Source organism: Homo sapiens, chromosome 6 (genome assembly GCF_000001405.40).
Source record: "Homo sapiens chromosome 6, GRCh38.p14 Primary Assembly".
Taxonomy (NCBI): Eukaryota; Metazoa; Chordata; class Mammalia; order Primates; family Hominidae; genus Homo; species Homo sapiens.
Genome location: NC_000006.12, coordinates 93,505,342 through 93,530,508, shown reverse-complemented (window position 1 = coordinate 93,530,508; position 25,167 = coordinate 93,505,342). Strand labels below are relative to the sequence as shown.

General features: G+C 33.2%; 1 long non-coding RNA gene across 1 annotated transcript in view; it reads right to left on the bottom strand.

Annotated features, from left to right (window-relative positions):
* Positions 1 to 25,167, bottom strand: part of LOC105377899 (uncharacterized) — a 198,745-nt gene that overhangs the window by 114,653 nt on the left and 58,925 nt on the right. Inside the window, exon 3 of the long non-coding RNA XR_001744262.2 lies at positions 5,796 to 5,856. This is a non-coding gene — a long non-coding RNA (uncharacterized LOC105377899). The remainder of the gene's footprint in view (positions 1 to 5,795; positions 5,857 to 25,167) is intronic.

The following is a 25,167-nucleotide window of genomic DNA, read 5'->3' as shown; positions in this document are numbered from 1 at the left end:
CCTGCAATACTTTTGTTGTAATTCTGTTTTATATTCTTCCACAACCGCACACATTTCTGCTTTTATTGTTTTTTTCTGGATTAATTGGCGTAGCCTATTAATTGGTGTTTGCAACCTAACTTCACTATCTCTGATCTATATTTTAAATTATTACAAAAATACCTTTCCTAAATCATACTCCTCATTTATTTTTGCTGAAATCTTGGTGATTTCCATTGACTGATAAATAAATTATCTCCTAAGCAAATGATTTGAAGCAACATACTCTAAATAAGCTTTCCAACCCCTCTCCCTACAGCTAAGCTTCATATATCCGTACTTTACAATTGCAACTCAATAAAACTTTTCAGTGCTTTCCTGCCTCTATGTGTGTAATTACAATTTTCTTATACCAAGATCACCATTTTATACTTCTCAGACTCCAGATTGCCTTGGATGCATCTTTATACTTTATACTTTATTTAATGTTTTCCTCTTCAAGTAAATATTCTAGGTTCCCAAGCTAGAACTTCTTTCCATCCTTTAATTTTCCAGAAAATTTGTGTTTTCCTTTTGACATTTCCTTTCTACCTTATACTTAATGTCTTCATTCATCTATGTTTTCTTGGCTGGTAGATTCATGCTCATCAGTGTCAGTGATCATGTCAGTTTTGTCTCTGCTTAATTCTCCATTCAATCTTTTCATTTTGAATATACTTGGGATTCAGTTAAAAGTAAACGAAGGTTGATTTTACATTTATCTACTAAATAAAGCATAAAGGACAAATTATTCTTTTTCTTTCATGTCAAAACAAACATGCACATTTTGCAGCATGTTTGTGCACACCTACACACAAAGAGCCCATGAAATCTCATCAACTTAAAAAAAGAAACCTTGTGCCAAGTGATGTTTACATGGTAGGTGAAAAGAGAATACTGGATGACAGGAAGGATGACAAGTCAAGTGAACCAAATCTGAAGTGGTAATTTTTACAACCTGAATAATCTGCTCTCCATATGTTTCCTGCAAATCCTAGGAAAGGTACTAAAATCATGATCTTTGCATTAGAGTAGAGCATATAAAGATTCACCTCTTAGCAGAAATACATTAAAAATAGAGAATAAGGAAGAAAGCTTTTTGGCAATCTTTCCTGACAATGTGTGCAAATCTGAAAAGCCAAATGGAAAGAGGAGTCTGCTAAGCTTTATCACACAGCACATGCAAAGTCATCACACATCATAATGCTTTCATATCATATGTCCATTTCACATTCTCAGACATGGCACCACATAGTTAAGCCTCCAGCAGCTGGAGAAATTATAATGCAGCAGTGGTCTACCCATTTAGTTCAGTGATTCCTTTAGAATTCTTGGCTTCAATAACTTAAGACAAATAGAAAGTTTTATGCTTATAAGTTGAACCCAGACTGTGACTTAGCTTTTCTTATATATTTTTTTAAAGTTTCAGTTACTTTAAGTTAAAGGAATCCTATATAATTTGAACTGGGAGAAGTCAAGTGAGGTCATACTCTTACGGAGATATTGATGCAAGTTTTCATATTCAATCTAGTATATGATCTTGTCTTTCCCGTTTGTCTGTATATTCATCTCTCCTGGGTTCCTCATTGTGATGTTTTTCAAGAGTCTGATTGCAAATAAGCATGAAGATATGGGCTACCATTTGGTAAACAGATATTTTAGGTGATTTGGCCATATCACAAGGGATGATTTTATTTTATCATCATCTTCAAATATTTGCCATATTGGTAATTTTCTTGAGAGAGTATCCTCTTTATTAGAAAATATGAATACTGTTTTTGAAACATCTATGGTATACTTGTTATTGGTTCCCACATATTTTCATGAAAACAGCATATCAAAAGTGTTAGTATTTGAATTTCTGTGTTAAGGAGAACCTATTCTCCTAGGAATTGAACCAAATAGAGGTTATAAGGTTATATTGTAACAAATAAGAAGGTTTCACCCCCTATTTATCTTTTTAGGTAATAGAAGATTCAATAAAATAATTTAAAATTTGCCATTATACATCTGCGTGACTTTTTCTAGTTGTATAGGAGTGGTAATATGACAGGAAGAATGTGTTTTGGGCATGATGGTCTGGGTTTGATTGATTCTCAGCTTCCTCTCTCCACTTGATGTGTGATATTGAACAAGTTATTTAGAAAACCTATTTTGCATCTATTTAATCCTCTGTGAAATGGGGATAGTAAAACCTACTTTGAAGTTTTTCTAAGGATTTAAAAATATGACATGAGGAAAACTGTCTAATATCCCCATTAAATAGTCTCTTTTTCTTCTTCATGCCTCTACCTCCATTATAAAGCTAATTGGAGCACCTTGTTGCCTTTAAGATGGATTATCTATGAAGATCTAATTTTAAATTCTATATTACATTTGATTTCTGTGCACATCTTAATGCTATGTCTATTTCCAAGGCATCTGGTTGCCTTCACTATTTAAAAAAGAAATGCTTATTTTTTTAAAAAAAGTAGTGCCAGTAAGCAAATGACTTAAATGTACTTTACCTTAGTTAATTCTCATAACAGTTATCCAAAATAGATATTATTTATCTTTAATCTATAAATGAGGAAACTAAGGTTAAAAGGTTAAGTGACTTTTACAATACCACAAAGGCTAAGCAAGGTTAAGTGACTTCTATAATACCATGAGTAAGTAGCAGTTATGGGAATTGAACTCAGGTTTTCCAGTTTTAAGCTGAGTGACCTTTCTACTCTTCCACTCTGGCAGAGCTTTATTTCACATAGCTTTCCCACTCCCTCTCTTTAATGCACTTCTACATTTTCCATGTTAAACGCTATGTTTTACCCTCGTTGGCTTCCTCTTTCTGCTCTCCTCTAGCAACCTGGAAAAAAGTCTGCCTATTTCTGTAAATAAGAATCTTTAGGTACAGTTATTTAGGCACATTTGACAGACATTTAGCCAAGAGAAAATATTTAAAGTGAAATATTTGGTATACTTGTCAAACCAAAAGAAAAAATGTGCTTATCAGTTACATAAAATATCTTTTTTGGGTAAGTGGCAGAATGTTACATTTTTATAACATCACTTAAAAATGCCACTTGAGTGTGTTACATGCTCATTAACAACAAAGAAAATACATCAAAGAAATATAACTATTTGCACAATTCACATTTAAGGGTAGTAATCCAGGAGCTTGGAAATAAGGCTGTGATAAATGTTATTAGGTAAGTAACCAGGTATAGGCTTCAGGAAAAAAAAAAAAAAAAGAATGTCCTATATGGAAATGAAAAATCTGAATAATGCTTGGATCACTTCTATAGGGCTTTTGAGTAGCTTTGTGTTAAAGACTTATGACCTACTCCTATAGTTATTGGGAAATAAAATGGAACAGAGAAAGAATAAGAGAAAGAAAAAAGAGAAAGGTAAGAAAGAAACTGAGCTACTGAAACATACTTATCATGAACAGAATTAACAAAAATGGATACTAATTATGTTAGTATCTGAAGTATTATAGATACTAATACTAATTATGTTAGTATCTGTAATTCATTGAGTACTGTCAAAAATAAAATCACATCAAGTTAGAAAAAAATATATAAACTAATTGTGCATTCAAAAAAACAGTTCACAAACCCAGAGATCACAAACCAAGAGTGGAAAGAAGTCTCACTTACAGCAGTTACAGCACAGCTGATAAAGCATAGAAGAGGATGTATTTTGACCTTATTCATTATTGGCTATTGTACATTAACATTCTTCATAAGAAAAACAGAGCTGTTTAAGCTAATTTTGTCTATAGATGATTTTTTAAGATTTCATTGAATCATGCCAATGAGGATGTAAAGCTTACATGGTGTCTTTTATTTATCATTAGAGCAAAAGTTTGGGGAAAATCAGGACAACTTAAGTTTTGGCTACGTGGATATGAGTGGCTAGCCTTGGGCTATATGTAAATCGTGGTTTCCATTTTAATCTTTCTTTAACAGTTCCCACCATATACTTGGGAAAATTTATATATAGATATACAAAAAAAAGTTTCAGTAAGCTTCCTAAAAATCATGCTAAAATCACGCAAAATAAGCTTATCTATTTCCCTTTAAAAACCTATAAAATAGACTTATTTATTTTAGATAAGGAAATAGTCTTAATGAAGTTAAATAATTTGTCCAAGATCACACCACACACACAGTGGGATGATTTGAAGTTTCCTCTATATTGATGTAAAATGAATGCTTTCACAATACCAAGCAGTCTTTTCACAAAAATAATGTATCACTTTAATAAGTAATAGGAACACCACAACACTAAGAAATTTTCTTTAGCTACCATCAGTCATTAAATATTAAAGCATATTATTTCTAAATATATTTATTATAATTTTTATCTCAAATGATACTCTGATAAAATTAACAGGAAACAAATTTTAAAAGGCTATTGTAGAGAGAGTCACCTGTGGATGAAAAAAGAACATATATCTGATTCCTTTTGAAATGAGGGCTATGAAACCACACAGTAAAGTGTAACTTTATGGAATACAAAAAACAGGAAGTCTAAGTGATTTGAGCAAATATGACAAAAAAAGAAATGAGTAAGTTATCTCTCTACTTAATCACACAAATGTTTACAATTTCAAACATTGTTATTTTGAACTCTGATAAGTAAAGTGGTTTTCTTTTAGAAGTTTGATTTACAAATAAACTCTGGCACATCCCTAAAATTTAGTTGCCAAAAAAATGAATGTGATCATAGAGAAGAATCTTTAAAACAACAGGAAATTTACAGAGCTATATTGAATTAACAAATGACAATTTAACCAAATAAACAGACTACAGTCCCAACTGTGCCTAAAATTATTAAATTTAGATGTATGATTGATAAATAGAAAGATATAAATAAAAATTCAACAGAGGTTATCTCTGGATAGTGTGGTTATTATACATAATTTTAAATTTTATATTGTGCTCGTTTAAATGTTCTCAGATGGACTACATTAATTTTGTGTAGCAAAAAGACAGTAATGCTAATATCAAAAGTCAAAGTTTACTTAGCTTAATTTGGATGCCAATTGTTCAGATATTTTTCATGCATTTTCTTTAGTTAGATTCCACTAACAAGTGACTGACAAAGGAAAATAAAGAGAAACTCCTTTTTCAAAGAAAAAGAAAATAAGGCAGCCCTTTTTTGGTTGTCAGTATGATCACGTCAGACTATAAGACCCAGGGAGAAAGACATTTCATTTAGACTGTGCTGTGTACAGAGCTATTGCTGCTATGCACACAATTATGATCATTGACAGTCACTCAATCTCCTTCCCTCTCTTCTGCACCATTGCTGCCCTGGTGCTGCCTTGGCAGCATATTTAGGTTTTAAGTTGTCAGTCACGATTCTTTTAAATTCTCAAAAAATGATAAAAATTCATAATATGAAAAGATGCCTGGTGAGACAAAGTTTTGGCCAGACAATTGAATTGGTTTCCCTTTGCGTTGCTCGGCAAATGTTTAATACACCAAACGTTCCATAATCCAATGAAAGTAAGTTTTCTTGTTTTAGTTTCCATAAAATATATTTCATTTTTATAGAATATTAAACTACGGCTTCACAACATCCTGAGACTGTCTGAGATTAAACAGGGAAATCAATCAGAACAAAACATGATCCCCTTTGCTCCTCTGCATCAAAGCACTGCAATCCATTCTCTAACTGTTCCCAAGAGTAAAATATTCATTAAGCTGAAATATACACATTGCCATAAATTAAAGCAAATATATACCTCTGCACAATCTATTTTAGGCTGGGTGATCAATTCCACTTACCATTTTCCAAAAGAAAATAGATGGTGTTTTTTCAGTGTTTCAAATGGAATTTTCAGAGAATCTGGAAATTAAAGAAAAGTTTACAATAATAACACTAATTTACAATAATAACAAATAGAGTTTTAGTGGATCTAAAATTGAATTCTAATCTCTGTGTGTGTGTGTGTGTGTGTGTGTGTGTGTGTGTGTGTGTGTGTGTGTGTGTGTTCCTTCATGAACCAAAATGACCTAGGAGATGTTTACCACCCAAGAGATCATCCCTGTAAGCTCTGGAAACCTAAGGTACCTAAGGTACACAAAGAGATAGTAATCTTTGAGTTGCAGGAGCAGCTAATTTGGGAGTAAACAATAGATTTTTTCATGAAGTTCCTATCCCACTGCCAAAGCCAGTTGGCCATATATGTGGCTGGCCATGCTGAATAATAAGGTTTGGGACCAGATTGTTCCCTTGTAGTATATGAACTGTTCGACCTTCAATTTCATTACCACAGTTCTTCATGCACACATTTTTCAGTAAACTTGAACAATTTACTACACCTAGAATTGTATGAAACATATACCATAATTGATAATGAAAAATGTTTTATTTTATACTGAGGTTTTCTTTATTTATTGATCTTTTTTCTTTCTTTCTTTTTCTTTCTTCTTTCCTCTTTTTTTTCTACAAAATCAATTAGATATATATAAAAACAACCAAGAAACTTGTTAATTATAATTGAATTATTTAGGCTTTTTTGTGCCCATTTATTCTTAGATTAAAATCCGATTTTTTAGTAGAAGTTCACTCCTGGAAAATTAAGCCAAATATTCATAATAATATCCATTTGTTGTTTAAAATAAATGTTTCAAATTTCTGATGTTTTTAAGTGCAGAAAGATTAGTGTACAATGTATTCCAATAAGTGCTATGAACAGAAGGAGTTAGGACTTTGATTATATGTCTCATCTCAGAAAATCACCTTCAGAAACCTACAGTGCCCTAACTTGAGCATAGGGCACTGTTGAAATTACATTAAAAAGTCAGGGAAAATGTAGTTACAAGGTAAAAATGTAAGAGTAGTAATTACTTGGTCTGTGTTAGGGCAAAGTCATGAGACAGAGTCACAGAATGAAACCCGATTAGCAGAGCTTATAAAAAGAAATAAGGAAACACTTACTGTAAGTGCCTGAGAATCAAAAGAATGTCACTGCAGAGTGTAAGTCCACTACTTAATAGGAAAAGGGAAAATTACAGACTACAAGAGGGCCAACACATTTAATTGCTCCTTGGGTTATTCTTTGCTAAATACTAATAATTGTAAAAGGTTGCTTAATGTGATAATAGTTACCAAGGTTGAAGAGATCAAAAGACAATGTCAGAAAGTAATAGATTGAGGTGAGTAAACATAATTGTGAATACATTCATATTAATGGTACCCTGAGAAGTACCAAAGAAAGAGATGCATCTGATGCTGAGATGACTATGAGAATATATTAAAATAAATGGAAAATATTCATTTATATTTGAGCTATCAAAAGACAAAATTATTCCAGGAAACATTTTAAAATTGATAATTATAAAATCAATCAATTAGAAATTATTTGTTAAATATCTATTATATTTGTAAGACAGGCTAGGGATTTTGGGATAGCAAGTATATAAAAGAAAATTTAAAAAACTAAAAATTGTTACTATTTTCACCAAATGTAATGTCACTATGATTTTAAAAACACACAAACATTTAAAGAATAAAATATATAAGAATAAATAATATTAACAGAATAAAATCTAGAAAAAGATACCGAAAAGGCTTTCAGACTACTGTATATATTTTTATAGGTGAGATGTTTCATACTCTCAAGGATAAGTAGTGAGCATCATTTATTCCAAGAGTAAGTAAATGACTTAATTTGATAAATTTATTAGAATTCATTTTATTTCTTGCTCAAATTAAACAAAATATTATATGCATATTAATTAACTAATAAATCCTTTCATTAAATTTCCAAAACCATTCCTGTTTGAATAAAATCTTAGTAGCAGATTAAAAACAAAAAATATTTAATGGTGAAACACTGAAAGCAGTCCCATTATAAACAGGAGCAATAAAGCATAGCAATCTTTATTACCTTTATCCCAAAATTATTCTGTACATTCATCCAATTTGTTTTCATATGCTGAATATGTTTTATTCAACCGCAGCTATATTTTAATGTATAATTATCTCAACTTGGGAAACTAATAGTACTTTCTAGTTGTTTTCTTCGTTGTTGTGCCTTGGCCATATTAGTTTTTGTTAGTTTGTTTGTTTTTTGTTTTTGTTTTGGAGATGGAGTCTTACTCTATCACCCAGGCTGAAGTGCAGTGGTGTGATCTCAGCTCACTGCAAACTCTGCCTACCAGGTTCAATTGATTCTCCTTCCTCAGCCTCCCAAGTAGCTGGGATTACAGATGTGTGCCACCATGCCCAGCTAATTTTTGTATTCTTAGTAGATATGGGGTTTTACCATGTTGTTCAGGCTGGTCTTGAACTCTTGACCTCAGGTGATCCACCTGCCTTGGCCTCCCAAAGTGCTGGAATTACAAGCGTGAGCCACCGCGCCCGGCCCCGTATTAGTTTTTTAATAGCTTACTTTCTGACACACAAAAAATGTTTCGGGCCCATTTTGCACATTTCTTATCTTAAAACTGGAATCAGCCATTTCTCTATGAACCTGGTTTCTTTAGTGGGGTAAGCTAGTGGTAGTTCTGCCATACTTTTACACACACACACACACACACACACACACACGTGCGTGCATCTTTCTAAAGTATTTCACCATGTGTACTTCTTCTGATTTTTAAGAAAGTCTGTACTGTTTTTTATTGGATATATTTATATTAATTTCTTATTTGGCAATCTTTAGTTCCCTCTCATTTTTGATACTTCTGAAAGTGTGATGAAATTAAAAATACCTGGCTCACATTTTCTTTTTTAAGTATCTAAATAATGTTGCTCTAAGATCTTTTTGCATAAAATAGCACAGCTGAGAAGTCTGGTGCTAATTTGATTTTCTTTCTTTCTATGCTGAATTTTTTTTTTTTTTAACTAATGGCTTGTCTTCATTAGTCATTTTCCTGAATACCCAACAGACGCTTTTTAAATATTTAATGTTTAATCATTTTAAAAGGGTATATCTCAGAATTCGTCATTCATGTCCAAATTCCCAGGGAGCTTTTCCATTTGTAATCACAATTATTGGTGAAAATTTGGTATTGATATTGCAGGTTAAAAATATGCATTCTAACCTATGACTTGGTTATTTTCTCAGTTTACAAATAAATATATCATATATATCCTTTGCCTGTCTTCTAGATCTGTGATTTTTCTTATAAACTTTTACCTTTAGTTCTAATTATTTGTATTCATTTTATATCACTTATTTTACTGTGCTTTATGTGATATCTATGAACCTTTATCTTTCTTCTCAATTAGGCTAATTTTTAAAATATTTTCCTTCTACTTTTTGTTTCTTATACCTAAATTCTGACACTTTTCTTTTTATTTTTGTTATCTTATTCTTTGGCTGTTCTGATTTATAATATTATTTCCAGGCTTTGACATTTATTTAATGCCTTTTAAGTTATTCTGAAAAATTTATGTAGCTTGTGTATATTCTGTATAGGAAAAATTTAATGGCATTTTTCTATAGTATTGGGATATTACATGATTAATGTTTATATTTTATTAGAATTTTTATAGGATTTGATCATACATTTTGTATTTCTCAAAAATGTTTTTTCTGTGTGGGAACAAAGATGGGTCACAGTAATTTTCCAAGCAAAAGGAGACAAGGAAAAGCAAAAACGAAGGTAAGAGAATTGCTCTATTATATGCCAAGACATACCTCCAGATAACAGTCATAAAAATAATGTAGTATTAACCTAGCAATGGACAAATACACCAGTGTAATAGAAGTGGGTCCATATATAAAATAATTTAACAAAAAAATAAAATGGCACCAAAATCAAAAGGGAAAGGTAGATTATCAAATAGATAGAAAATAAATTAGAATCCTCATCTAATCCCCATATAAAGGTGAAATCTAGGTGAAACTATGGAGTAGGTACAGGCAAAGTATCATTTTTAAAAAACTTCAAAAACACAAAGCATAAGATAAGAAATTTATGGATTAATGGTTAAGAGCTCCATTACCTACTAGCTGAGTGAACTTGGACAATCCTTTAACTTCTCTGTGACTCAATTTCCTCATATTTGCAACAGGTATTAAATGATTTAATATATGAAAAATGTTTAAAGCAATGGCTAGCACACAGTAAATGCTAAATAAGGGCCTAATGGTACTTCTGCTACTTTGCCCAATCAAAGATTTTTGATCAAGGAAGGGTACCACAGGCAAGGTAATTGACAGAACAGAGAAGGTATTTGTACTGTCTGTAACTCACAAGTAATAGCATTTACAATATGAGAAATTTCTGCAAAACTCCATAACAAAATAGCAACTTGATAGAAAAAAATGAGCAAGGAAATAAAACAGGTTATTTATAGTAGAGGAAACACAAAAATCCATTAGTTGGAACAATATGTTATTGCCATTTTTTGTGAACCAAAAAATGTTTGGATATCAACAATTTTATATGGTTCAAATTAATTAGTAATTGATGAGACACTCAAGATTTTTAGTAATCGGAAAAATTCAAATTAAAACTGCAGTGGAAAAAAATTAAAAGGTTTTGTAATGCTAAATGTTGGCAGGGATGTAACGACATAGGAAGCTTCATATCCTGCTGGTGAGTATGTCAAGCAAGACAACCATTCGAAAGAATTCAAGTCATGTTTAGTCAAATTTTATATGCACATATCCAAAGAAACAGCAAGTCCACTTGTGGATATGTATCCCAAATCTTCTCTGGTTCATAGAGTTATATATGAAGATGGTTCTCTGAGTGTGTGGTGTTAAGAAGGCAGAAACAACCTTTGTGCCCATCATTGGGAAAGTGGTCAGGTAAAATATGGCAAATTCACACCATGAAATATAATGCAACATTTAGCAGCAACTGACTAAATGCAAAATGCATACATATCAACAGAGATGGATCTTACTAGCCGTATGGCATATCTTAAGGTAAGAAGCATATGACAATATTGTTTATATACACATTAAATATTACACACTTTGCAATGCAGTCAAGTAGAAAGTTACACATCAAACATTTAAATGTTTGATGCCTATGCAGAGAGGGGAAGGAGCTTGTCGTTATGGGAATTAAATGCCTATGCAGAGAGGGGAAGGAGCTTGTGGTTACGGGAATTAAAGGAAACTAGTAAAAGAAGAATGTGAAATACCCCAAATATTTAAGTCAAAAACAAAAGCAAAATTAAAAGGCAAATGCAAACTGAAAAAAAAATTGTTGCAAGAGAAATAACAAGATCATCTCCTTAATTTTTTTTTTCAAGAGCTTTCAACAGGCCAGGTGCAGTGGCTCACACCTGTAATCCCAGCACTTTGGAAGGCCGAGGCGGGTGGATCACCTGAGGTCAGGAGTTCGAGACCACCAGCCTGGCCAACATGGTGAAACCCCATCTCTACTAAAAATACAAAAATTAGCCAGGCATGGTGGCAGGTGCCTGCAATCTCAGCTACTCGCGAGGCTGAGGCAGGAGAATCGCTTGAACCCAGGAGGCGGAGGTTGCAGTGAGCCGAGATGGCACCATTGCACTCCAGCCTGGGGGACAAGAGTGAGACTTCATCTCAAAAAAAAAAAAAAAAAAAAAAAAAAGAGCTTTCAACAGTGAAAAGAAAAAAAAAACAGTAAAAACAGTAACATATCTATCAAAAAATGGTGCTATGGTCTGAATGTTAGTGACCTACCTACAAAATTCCCGTGTTGAAACCTAATCCCCAATATAATGGTGTAAAGAAGTGGGACAATTCGGAGGTAATTAGGCCATGAAGGTGAAATTCTCATAAATGAGATTAGTGTCCTTATAAAAGAGCCTCAAGGGAGCTTGTTTGCCTCTTCCACCCCATGACAAAACAGCAAAAAGGCACCATCTATGAACCAGGAAACAGGTCCTCACTAGACACCAAATCTGCCATCACCTTGATCTTAGACTTCTCAGGCTACAGAACTGTAAGAAATAAGTTTCTGCAGCCTATAAGGCACCTAGTCTATGGTGTTTTGTTATAGCAGACCAGATGGACTAAGAAAGATGGACAAGAGGAGAAATATTGAATAAGTAAAAATTTACAATAGGGATATTAAAAAAACTTTTTTCCATAGTAAAGTCATTATAATATAAAATTAAAAGGTTTTATTTTTTACACCGGCTATTATTGTAGCTAAGGCTAGGCTATAATAGTAAAATGTTGACTTCAAGAGAAGAGAAGCACAAGAAATAGCAGACAATTAAAATATCATGTGTCAATTCATAGGAAACATGTTAAATAAATTGCAGTGTATAAATATATATATATGGAGCATCATGCAGTCAAATAACAGGAATGAATGAAGCTCTCCATGGCCCAAAATGAAAAGATATCTACGATCCAGAGTTGAATAAAGCAAGCAGGATACACGACAGTATGCGTAGTAACCTACCATTTGTATTGACAAGACAAAAAGAATATATTTATAATTACTTGTAGATGCGTAAATGGAAACAATAGTCCAGCTTAGATGATTTTGTTTCAAGCCAGTTCACTTCTTTTTTCTAGTCTTCACCACTCTGTGGAATCTTATTAATCTATGCAAATACTTGAAAAAAAGTCTCACTTGCTTCCCAAAAAGAAATAATAATTTTCTGGGGCAATGCACATACATTTAAGAAACAGCACGAGTAAAAGCTATATATTTCCTTGATCATCAAGGCCAGTATTTATTAAAGATATATTTAATTTTTATAAAAATTTGGACAGAAATTTTACCAATGCTGTCTAAGGCATTGGAATTAAGGTTCATAGTGAGTTTAATATTGTTATTTTCTTTTTTGTATTTGTTTAAAATTGACAAGTAATAATTGTATGTAATCATGGGCTACATAGCGATGTTTTAATAAATATAATGTATAGCAATCAGACTACGGGAATTAGCGTATCTATCATATCAAACATTTATCTTTTCTTTGTGTTGGGAACGTTCACTATCATTCTTTAGCTATTGCTCAACATTAATCATCAGGGAAATGGAAATCAAAACCACAAAGAGGTAACACCTCACCTCAGTTAGGATGCTATTATCAAAAAACAAAAAAATAACAACTGCTGGTGAAGATGTGGAGACAAGAGAGCCCTCCCTATACACTGTTGGTGTAGATTTAAACGACTACAGCCACTGTAGAAATAGTATGGAGGTTCCTCAAAAAACTTCAAACCGAACTACCATATCATCTAGCAATCCCACCACTAGGAATTTATCTTAAAAAATCATCATGTTGAAGATACATCTTCATCCTCGTGTTTCCTGCAGCACTTTTCACAATAGTGAGATATGGTCTCAACCAAGGTGTCCTATGTTTGAAAAAATTAATGGAGTGAGGAAGGTGGGTGCTGAACATACTTGAAGCAGAAACAATGAGGAGAAAACAACAAAAAACTGGAGAAATCACTTACAGAACAGAAAGAGTTCCTTTTAGAATACTAGCACAGGCTCATTTCAAAGCAAGTATAGAAAATAGAGGTGAAACCACCACCAAAATTGATTTGTGGGACACCCAGGCAATCATTAGGGACTCCAAGTATTACTCAGGAAAATAAATTAGGCAAAAGAATATTCTTCCCCACTTTTTATTGTAGTATGTGAGGTGAAACTCGTGTACGTGTTTGTGTGTGTATGTCTGTGTGTGTGCACGTGTGTGTAGAGAGAGAGTGGTGTTACTGCAATGGACTACTAAAAGATATCTAAAAATCTATTCCTGCATCTTTAACTTTTATTCTCAATAGAGAAGCCATAGCGATTATTTAAAATATAAGTATGTTAGTGTCAATACTCTTCTCAGAGCCCTTTAATAGATAGTGAAGACAAAGAAGGCTCCAAAAATGCAAGAGCAATTCTGACCCCACCACCCTGGCACCAAAAAAAGAGCTCCAGGTGCTAGCTGTTGAAAGTGAAAGCATATTGAAGCTTCCCACCTTCGTTATGTCTCAACAGATTAATATAGTAAAAAAGGGAGATAAGAGAATCTCAGCAAAGCACTGACACTATCCTCTACACAATAAATAGAGGAAACAAAAATCAAAGACTGAGACTAAGGACAATTTAATGTTAAGAGGACAGAGAAAAGCAGGAACCTATGAAGATGGCTGAGAAAGAGTGACCAGTGAGGACGAAGTAAAACTAAGAGTACATGTATTCATTTCTTACTGCTGCTATTTAAAAGTGCTGTAAACTGGGTTCCTTAAAACAACAGAATTGTTTTTCTCTCTCAGAGTTCTGTAGGTTAGAAGTTGGAAGTTCAGGTGTCAGTAGGTCCTGCTCGCACCAAATGCTTTAGGAAAGAATCCTTCCTTCCCTTATCTAATTTTTTGTGGTTGCTGGCAATCATTGGTGTTTCTTGGCTAGTAGATGTGTCAGTTTAATCTATGACTATCTCCACATGGCCTTCTCCCCTGTATGTTTGTGCTTTCACATTGTCTTCTCTCTGTTCATATATCTGTAACCAAATTTCCCTTTTCTTATATTGAATTTGGTGCCTGCCTGTATTTAGCATTTTCACATTGCTAAAGATACTACCCAAGATGGGATAATTTATAAACAAAGGATGTTTAACTGACTCACAGTTCCACATGGCTGGAGAGGCCTCAGGAAACTTAAAATCCTGGCAGAAGAGGAAGCCGGCACCTCCTTCATAAAGTGGCAGGAGAGAGAGTGCTGCAAAGGGGGAACTTCCAAACACTTTTAAAACCATCAGCTCTCCTGAGAACTCCCTATCATAGAAAGGCATGGGGAAACTGCCCCCATGCAATCACTTCCCACAGCTCCCTCCCTTGACACGTGGGAATTATGGGAATTACAATTCAAGTTGAGATTTGGGTGGGGACACAGAGCCAAACTGTATCACTGCCCTAATTCAGTATGACATCATAATTTTATCACATCTTCAAAGACTTTCCAAATAAATACACATTCACAGGTTCCAGATGGATATGAATTTTGCAGGAACACCATTAAATCCAGTAGAGTAAGGTGTCCTGATAGCCAATGGAGAAAGATTGTCAAGGAGGAAGAAATAATCAATTGGCCAAATCCTGCAAGTGAGAAATAGTCTTTGAAAAGTTCACTGATAACTTTGACAAGATCATTCAGTGGAACATTGGAAACAATTTTTTTTTGAGACAAGTTATTGCTCTGTCACCCAGGCTGGAGTACAGTGGTACAATCATAGTTTACTGTAACCTCAAACTCCTAGGCTCAAGCAATCCTCCTTTCTCAGCCTCCCAAGTAGCTATAACTATAGATATGTGCTACCATGCCCAGCTAATGTTTTATTTTTTTTAAGAGACAGTGTTTTGATATGTTGCCCATGCTAGTCTTTAACTGTACTCCTGGTCTCAAGTATTCCTCCCACCTAGGCCTCCCAAAGTGCTGGGATTATAGGCATGGGCTACCACACCCAACGTGGACACAAAATTCTAATTTAAGAAGATAACAAAAAAATAAGTATTGAATAATTAGAGCAACTAAACATAGAAGAATGCTGCTAACAGAAAAATACATTATTAGCTTTGTAGTAAGTAAAATGTTCTTGCTTTAAAGATAAGCTGAGCAATAAATAAAATACTTTTCATTTTTAAGAAAGAAGAAATAGCAATACATTTTTAGATATAAAGTACTGATCCAGTAGAGAATAAATAGGGATGAAACAAAGGAGACAAGGTGGAATTACTGGAGTGATGTCTTCAGTGGGCAAGAGATGATGTGTAAATTGGCTTTGGGAGGAATATGAATAGCTTATCTCTGGAAACAGATGGAATGCTAGAGTATGTGGGTGTAGATGCTGGAAGGTGCATAGACACAGAGTCTGGAGATTTCTTGTGATTGTTTCAGTTTCCTCAATCAAGTAGGAAGCAAAATCATTAGCTAATAAAGATAATGTAAGAGCAGAGGTTTGAAATTAAAGAGAGGAGGTGTGAAATATTTACCTAGGTAAGTGGTTTAGTGAATAGACCAGGAACATATTACATGATTGTTCAGGAGTATTAAAGGACTCCTACAAGTTTATAGTCATGAATTTAAAATGTTTATGGGGTTGGATGTTTTTATCTAGTCATATTTAGCTGGCTCAGCTATGTGGATCTCTAAATTCAATCAACTATGTGGTTTTTGTTTCCCCAAGCAAATAGAAGAAAGCAAGAGAGGATCAAGGGAGTCAAGTGTATAAATATGGGAGTTATTATATTGAGAGACCATAGAATTAGAATTTCATCTGTGTTATAAAAGTAAGGGTATATATGTATATATGGAATGAGAGAGTGAAAAGTTAATAGGATCAAAGAATTGAAAGCCACAGCAAAGTCACTGGAGTGAAGAGTAGTAGAGAGTGTGAGATTTAATAAATTATCTTTTTAAAGCTTTCTTATAAAATCTGTTGAACTGACTAGTAAGAGAAAAGTATGTTTAGCGTACCTCATTCTTTTTCTTTCTGTGTATCCCCTGTAATCCGACTGTGTCTGAACTAAAAATGATCTGTCATAAGCATTTATTTTCCAAGACTTTCAAAAATTGTCTTCCTCATAAAATTTGAATTGGAAAATTCTACTTTTAATTCAGTCTCACAACATGAGAAATTTTTAAATAGATCTTTTTTCAGACACTTTTACCACTGATATTGATGAATTAAATAGTTATTAAATAATTTTTATTAATACTATTAATAAACTAGTAGAAGTATGATTTTATATAATCTCTACTAATCTGTTTTGTATCAAAATATTTGAAACATTTTAGTGGTTGCTTTTGTATGTATCATAAACAACTTTCAAGTGTCAAGTGTTAATACAGCATTTTGCTCCTATGTATATATGTCCTAATATGCATGTAAGTCTATTATTATATACATATTATTATTATAAATAATATATAATATATACTATATTATTATATAGTATATAATATAATAATAGACATACATATTAATTAAATGGACTAATAGAATTTCAAGATATAAGCATATAAAGAGATTTTTCACTCCAAGCTGCATCTGAAATGCTTAACTACATTTCGATGAGAATACTCAGAAATTAACAATAAATCTGAACTATGCCTTATTCATATTACTCGTATAGTTATATATTGATTACATGCAAGTCAGTTCTAGGCATTGAATATTGACTTTACCAAGAATATATGGAACTATAACAAGGCTAAAGTCAAACTTCAGTCTAAAATTAAATCAAGGATATTAATTGTATTTTCTAAATATTCTATATCTTTGCTTGTTTTTGCTCTGCTATAGCTGTTGTTTCAGGAAAGATGTGTTAAAATCTCCAACTAGAATTGTTACTTTACCTAATTCTTTCCATTGTCCTAGCATTTGCTAGTTTATATAGTTGAAGACTGTAACATAGAAGCATATATGACCATGATTGTTACATATTTTTTGGCTGATTGTGCCAAAGTATTATCTACTTCTAAAAAACAGAATTTACAGTAAAGAGGAAATCAACAGAACACTCTTACTATTTTGACAGACTATTATAAGCAAACATCGTAAAAGAGCAAACTCTATTCTCAAGTTCAGGCATATAAAGTAACGTGTCAAAAACTTGCATTAATTGTCTTTTAGACAAGAGCTAAAATTTGGTCAGCTTATGTATGTAGTAACTGCTGTTATCACTTGCAATCCATTATAAATCACTGTTATATACTTTGTGGAGAAAGCTGTGAAAGAATTTCCATAGTTTTACTACATATTAGACCTGTGAAGCTTTCTCTTCAGTTTGAAGCTATGTTTGCTATTTTTATCAAACTATTCTGTATCATATTCTAAGTGATTATTATTCTTGAAAAATGTATCTTATCTCTGATTACTCCACGTCTATTTGTACTCTCTGCCCTTGCTTTTCACTAGCAATTTATTTAATGCTTCATGTGAAGATTACTTAAATATTTTTTTAAAAAAATTTCTTTCCCATAGCTCTTAGGCAATATAATCAAAGTGAAATTGTGGAAGACCACTCATTGGAGGTGAACTCCTTCAAAAATTTCCCTGAAGCAGCAGTTGCAAGTGTGCCTAAGATGATTCTTTACTGTAGAATCTCTAGTGCATGAGTCTTCAGTAAAATGACTAGTATAGCATTTGTAAGATCACCAAAATAACAGCAACTCTCACATCAAAATGCCACTGGTATAGAACAGAGCAGCAGAAAGTGTTTCTGCTAAAACATATTTCCTGGAATTAAGGATAATGAGTTACTCAGCTACCTATTATTCATATGAATACATATCTAATTCAGATTCCTATACTACATGTGACCTTTTATTCGTAATAAGAATTTATAATGGGTGGAGTGATTGTCAAGTACTCATAATAATTCAAGCAAGTGTATATATTTTAGATCATTTGAGAGCAAACATTTTGGTCCTTGATTTTCCTTAAGATAATATCCAGTTGTAGTCTAATGACTGCTTTTTTTTTCCTTTCTTGTCACTTTTATTAAGGCTATTTACTGGTAGTGAGTCTTAACACATATATGTCCCTCCTTTTATTATATAATTCACCCTCCATGTCAGACATATTCCTTTACAACACTATTACTAATTAATATTACTTACCATTATTCTCCTTAAGTATACCACGACATATTCATTTAATTAGCCTACCACGTGAATTTTCCTAATTTTATCATATTTCATGAATCCACCTTTTGTAATAAAATAAGGACCTCCCAAAAAGAAAAAATTTTCTTATGTCACTGTTGATGTTAGCCCAAAACACACAAGTAAATAAAAGCAGATACATAAAAAATAAACATACACAGAAAAGTTCAGTAAGCCTATTGATACACAAGATGATTTTGGAGGTCATAATGATGATAATAATGGTAATAATAATTTGATGAAATCTTATTTGTCCACTTTTGCTTTTTCTGTCCATGTTTTCTGGGATTGTATCTAAAGAAAAAAAAATCATTTCCCAGCCCAATGTCATGGAGCTTTTCTCCTGTGTTTTCTTCTAATAGTTTTTACAGTTTCACGTCTTCTGACTAAAAGGCTACAGCACAGCAAAGGGAATAATTAATAGAGTGAAGAGACAACCTATGAATTGGGAGAAAATATTTTCAAATCATATCTGGTAAGGGGTTAATATCTAAAACATGTAAATAACAAATAACTCAGTAACAAATAAGTTTTAAAAACTCATTAAAACAGGCAGAAAATAGACATTACTCAAAAGACATACAAAAGGCCAACAGGTAGATGAAAAATTGTTCAACTTCACTAATCACTAAGAAAATGCAAATTAAGACTACAATGAGATATCACTTAACACTTGTTAGAATGGCTATTATCAAAAAGACAACTAAAGATAAGAAATGTTGGTGAGGATGGGGAAAAAAGGAAACACTTCTGCACTGTTGGTAGGAATATAAATCAGTACAGCCACAGCTGAAAACTATATGGCGGTTCCTCAAAAAACTGAAAATAAAGCTACCATAAGATCTAGAAATTTCATGTCTAGATATGGATCTAAAGGGTTTGAAATCAGTACACTGAAGATACAGCTGCACTTCCATTTTTATTGCATCATTATTCACAATAGCCAAGATATGGAATCAACCTAAGTGTCCCTCAGTAGATGAATAGATAAAGAAAATATGGTATATATACACAAAGAAATACTATTCCACCTTAAAAAAAGAAAAAAAAATCCTGTCACTTACAACAATATGAGTGACAAAGAAGTCATTATATTATGTGAAATAAGTTAGGCACAGAAAGACAAATACCACGTCTGTGGTATTGGTATTCCACGTATGTAGAACCTCACCTATATGTGGAACCTCACTTATATGTGGAATCTAAAAAGAGTCAAACTCATAAAATTTGAGAATACCAGATGCTAGAGGGTGGCATGCAGTGATATACAATGGTACAAAGTTTTAGTTAGATAGGAGGAATAAGTTATTGAAATTTATTGCACAGCATACTGACTATAGTCAATAATAATGTATTGTACATTTTAAAATTGCTGAGAGTAAAGTTCAAATAATCTCACCACAAAAATGATAAATGAGGTGATCTATTAACTTAATGAAATCATTCACATTGTACCCTATACATATATACAATTATAGTTTGTCAATTTAAAAAGAAAATAAGTTTTAAAATAGTAATAATTTGTTAAGCATTTGTACGGTGGGATAAGTACTATCAAGATCTATATTGTACTGATAAAGAAACAGACAGATAAGTTACATAACTTAATGAATATCATACACTTAGTGAGAAAGTTTGGAGTAAAAATTAACTTTGATTCAAAACCATAATTATTATGTCATACTGTCTCAGAATTTTAGAAAATCAGACGGTGAGGTCCCATCAAGATATGATAACCTTAATGACAACACTAGGCATAACTTATCCGTATCCACTTAACTTTTATAAGAGTTGTCAAAAACAGGGTAGGTTATCATCCATATCCATAATAAAAGTGGCTGGAATAAATTATAGCATCATCAAAAGCATTAATAAAAGCATGATTAAAAGCAAGCCAACAAACAAGAAAAATAACTTTGAGACCTTTTACAGTATTTAGTGTGCATGTGGGGGGGCATCTCTTTCTTCATTAGACAAAAGAAAATTGTTGTAAACTTCTATGTGTATGCACCAATGCCTATGCTCAAGGATAGTTATATTGCCTGCCAAGCAAGCTGTCAGAGCCCCAGCATCAGAAAGTGGTCAGCTCGCAGGTAGTGGGGTGGTAAGAAGAATTTACTGGCAACAGTATAGGATTGAAAAGGAAAGTTTTATTAGATAGAAAGAAACAGACAACTTACAGAGTGGAAGAAAATTTTTGCCAACTATGCATCTGACGAAGGTCCAATATCCAACATCTATAAGGAACTTAAACAAATTTACAAGAAAAAAACAAACATCCCCATAAAGTAATGGCCAAAGGACATGCACAGGTACTTCTCAAAAAAAAGATATACATGCGGCAACAGGCATATTTTTTAAAAAGCTCAACATCAGTAATCATTAGAGAAATGCAAATCAAAACCACAATGAGATACCATCTCACGAAAGTCAGAATGGTTATTATTAAAAAGTCAAAGGCCGGCCGCGGTGGCTTACGCCTGTAATCCCAGCACTTTGGGAAGCCGAGGCAGGAGGATCACAAGGTCAGGATATCCAGACCATGCTGGCTAACATGGTGAAACCCTCTCTCTACTAAAAATACAAAAAATTAGCCGGGTGTGGTGGTGGACGCCTGTAGTCCCAGCTACTCAGGAGGCTGAGGCAGGAGAATGGCGAGAACCCGGGAGGCGGAGCTTGCAGTGAGCCGAGATCACGCCACGGCACTCCAACATGGGCGACAGAGCGTGACTCCATCTCAATAAATAAATAAATAAATAAAAATAAAAATAAAAAGTCAAAAAATAACAGATGATGGTGAGGTTGTGGAGAAAAAGGAATGCTTATATACCATTAGTGGGAGTGTAAATTAATTCAGTCACTGTGGAAGACAGTGTGGCAATTCCTCAAAGAATGGAAAACAGAAATACCATTTGACCCAGCAATCTCATTACTCGGTATATACCCAAAGGAATATAAATCTTTCTATTATAAAGACACTTGCATGTGTATGTTCATTGCAGCACTATTCACAATAGCAAAGACATGGAATCAACCCAAATGCCCATCAGTGATAGAGTGGATAAAGAAAATGTTGTACATATACACCATGGAATACTATGTAGCCATAAAAAAAGAAAAAGAGCATGTCCTTTGCAGGAACATGGATAGAGCTGGAGGCCATTATCCTCAGCAAACTAACATGGGAACAGAAAACCAAATACTACAGGTTCTCACCTATAAGTGGGAGTTAAATGATGAAAACACAGGACACATGGAAGGGAACAACACACACTCGGGGCTATCAGAATATGGAGGGTGTGGGAGGAGGGAGGATGAAGAAAAATAGCTAAAAGGATACTCGGCTTAAGACCTGGGTGATGAAATAATGTATACAACAAACCCCCATGACACACCTTTACCTATGTTACAAAACTGCATATCCTGCACATGTACCACTCAACTTAAAAGTTAAAAAAGAAACAATGATGCAAGAGAGTGCAGCAGGGCACCTCCACAAGAGAGGACTGAGCGCTCCACAGTGGATTTTTCCTTAGAGGTATGTGTGGATTTTAAAGTAGGAGCTTACAGGTAATTTGGACCATAGTAGCCACGTAGGTCATGATAAATTATTACATTTTGGTGCCCAGATGTCAGCAAGGGTTGCACAATGGCACAATGAGTTTCAACATGCACACATTCCGGAGATGTAAAGAAATTCTAGTTATAAATTTTTGGGAAATAAATCTGGTACCAGATGCCTGCTTTAGGTAACAGAGAGGTCTATTTATTCTTAAAATGAGCTTCTTTGTTACACTAGGTTCCAAGGGGGAGAGGAGAGGAAAATATAGGGAAGAGCTATAGCGGACCTATAATGGACACACAACATGGGCAAAAAATAAACCATTGTTCTTTAAAGCCTCTAAAGTTTTGGGGGTCATTTGTCAACACAGAATTGCTTAATATAGCCTGACTGATACAACTATCAACTTTGAGTAATTCTAGCAATAATTTTTCAAAAAAGAAAAATTAACTATTCCTATTTTATAGTCCCTAATTTCCAGTTTTTAATTTTTGTATGGCCCTGACCTCTCACAGGGACATGGAAAAGGAAAGGCACAGGTTTCTGGACTATGAGTTGGTATCTCTTGTTATAAAGAAACTTATAAAGAATAAGTTTGCTTTCCTTGTTGTAGAGCTCAAATGTGTGCAGGGCTGATTTAAAGAGCAATTCTTGACAGGTGTTCAGCAGAGTTAAGTAATAGCTCCCTTATCACCACGTACAATGGGCTACCCATGTAATAGTGCTTTCAATTTCAATATATGCCACCTCAAATGAATTCATGAGGCAATAAGTCAGTAGTTTTCAACCTGTGCCTTCAAAATTTCATAAGGGAGGAAAGGCAGAGCAGCACATTCATTGCAGATTATCTTTCCAGGTCTAAATCAGGACCTCTACCATTCATAGACTGTCATTGTAAGAGAATATTCAGTTTCCTATCAATTTTCAACATCTTTGTAGACCTATTATAACCACCAGTGCAACTGTGGGCTTCAATCTAATTTACCCACATAGGGAGTTAGTTCATTTGCAAAAAGAGAAAACAATCTACAGCCATAATATGCTATAGAATTCACATTTTGAGATTGAAAAGACAGCTTTTTTACCATAAGGTAGAAATAACAACTACAATAAGAATAAATCTCTTTAATCTGCAAATATGAAGAGGTTAATGAAAACAATGTGAACCCTATTTTATGGCTTCAAGCCTTTACCTTTTCCTAGGTACATTGGTGGCCCAAAAAACACTGGATATGTATTAATGACTATAGTGAAACCATTGGCTCAATGTGTATTTCATGGCAGGAAAGCATGAATTCGAGGAGCCTTCCTGACAGTTGTACTCATGTGTTGGATATACACAAACGCACATCTCAACACAAGCATAGAATTAACCCCTTCTTTTTCTTTCAAGGAACCATTACTTCATCTATAGTTTTCTATCATTTTTCTTGAGGATGAGAGAATGGAAATAGTCACTTATCCTGGGCCAAATCTTCAGCATTGTTTATAGAAAAACTGCCTTTGTTAGTCTAAGAGAAAATAAAACACTGTTCTTTCCAACTCATTCTTTCCTCTATCACATCTTTTGGTAGTCCTAGAACAAAATTAGTTGGTTGTTTAGATAAAACAAAAATAATTGGTGGTCAGATTTCCAGAGGATGATTGTGGTTAATGTGTACATGCAGATCGCTTGAATTAAAAGAATAACATTTGCTCATCTAGTCATTGATGTTTCATCACCACAACCATCATGTTTTCTTTTGAAAGTCGTGGGAAGACTGGTTTTCTTATGAAGGCCTAATGTTAGTTTCTAACATACCTATTCAATTTGTCCATAGGTGATTTTTGGTATGTTATGAGGAAATTTTGGTTGGTTGATGACACTCTTAAAATCAGAGCCTATCTGGTGGTTTATCCTAATTCAGATACCCATGAACTCCTACTTCTTTACCAGATATTTAATGTAAGAATTCTTTAGTGTCAGTGTCAATAGCAAACCCAGATACCAAACATTACATATTCCTTACTCCAGCCATGGAATTGGGTATTCTGGCAAGAATTTCATTGTGTACACATAGATATTTAAATTTTTGCATGGTCCAATAGATAGCAAAAACACTGACTTTATAGTTTTGAAATCATTACCAATTCTCCTCCAAGATGAGAACCAAAAAAGAATAATGAATTTGGCAATTACAAATTACTACACAATTTAGAGAGCAGCTGCAGTAGAGTGAGTAATCAAAGCAGCAGCTTTCACTCGAGAGTACTCTTTCTAATAATAGGAAAAGTCCAACAGATTTAGAATTTTCAGGAACAGAAATATTCATTCCATATGCTACACAAATAATTATTGCACCATTTTCTCAAATAATTTATTGAGTGATTTAATGCTGTCATATCTTCCTGTATTTCATAATTGTTACACATATATTAAAATGGTCAGTTTTGCATTTCACTATGTTTGCAATTAAGCAGCTTTATATAATTGAAAAAATTAGAATGTTTCAAGTATCACAATATTAGCAAGATGACTAATAATCTATTAAAATTTAGAGTTCTATGCCCCAATTCCTTGACATATATTTTTCAATTTTTTTAATTTCAAAATTGCTATTGTACCCTTTCTCAAAACGAATAAATCACAAAAAAACATAAATATAGAGACTGAAATTATATAGACGAGGAACTAGTATTTTAAAAATTAGGTGTGTACTATTATCTCTGGAATTCTATGACAAACATTTTTCACAAGTACTCACCTTCTCATCCTAAATATTTATATAAACAACATAGTGGTCATTGCAACTATCTAAAACTATTTATTTTATTAAAGATGCATATTTATGCAATAGAAACAAACTTTTAATTAGTACCTTTCAAAAATAATGTCCAACCCAAGGTAGTATTTAGGTTGGTCAACTTTTAAGTATTGATGGAATTTCTGCATAAATTTTATTAATTGTTTGATCATCACTAGAAACAAATTAGTATGCTTTTTATTTTTCCAATAATTATTACAAAAGTAAT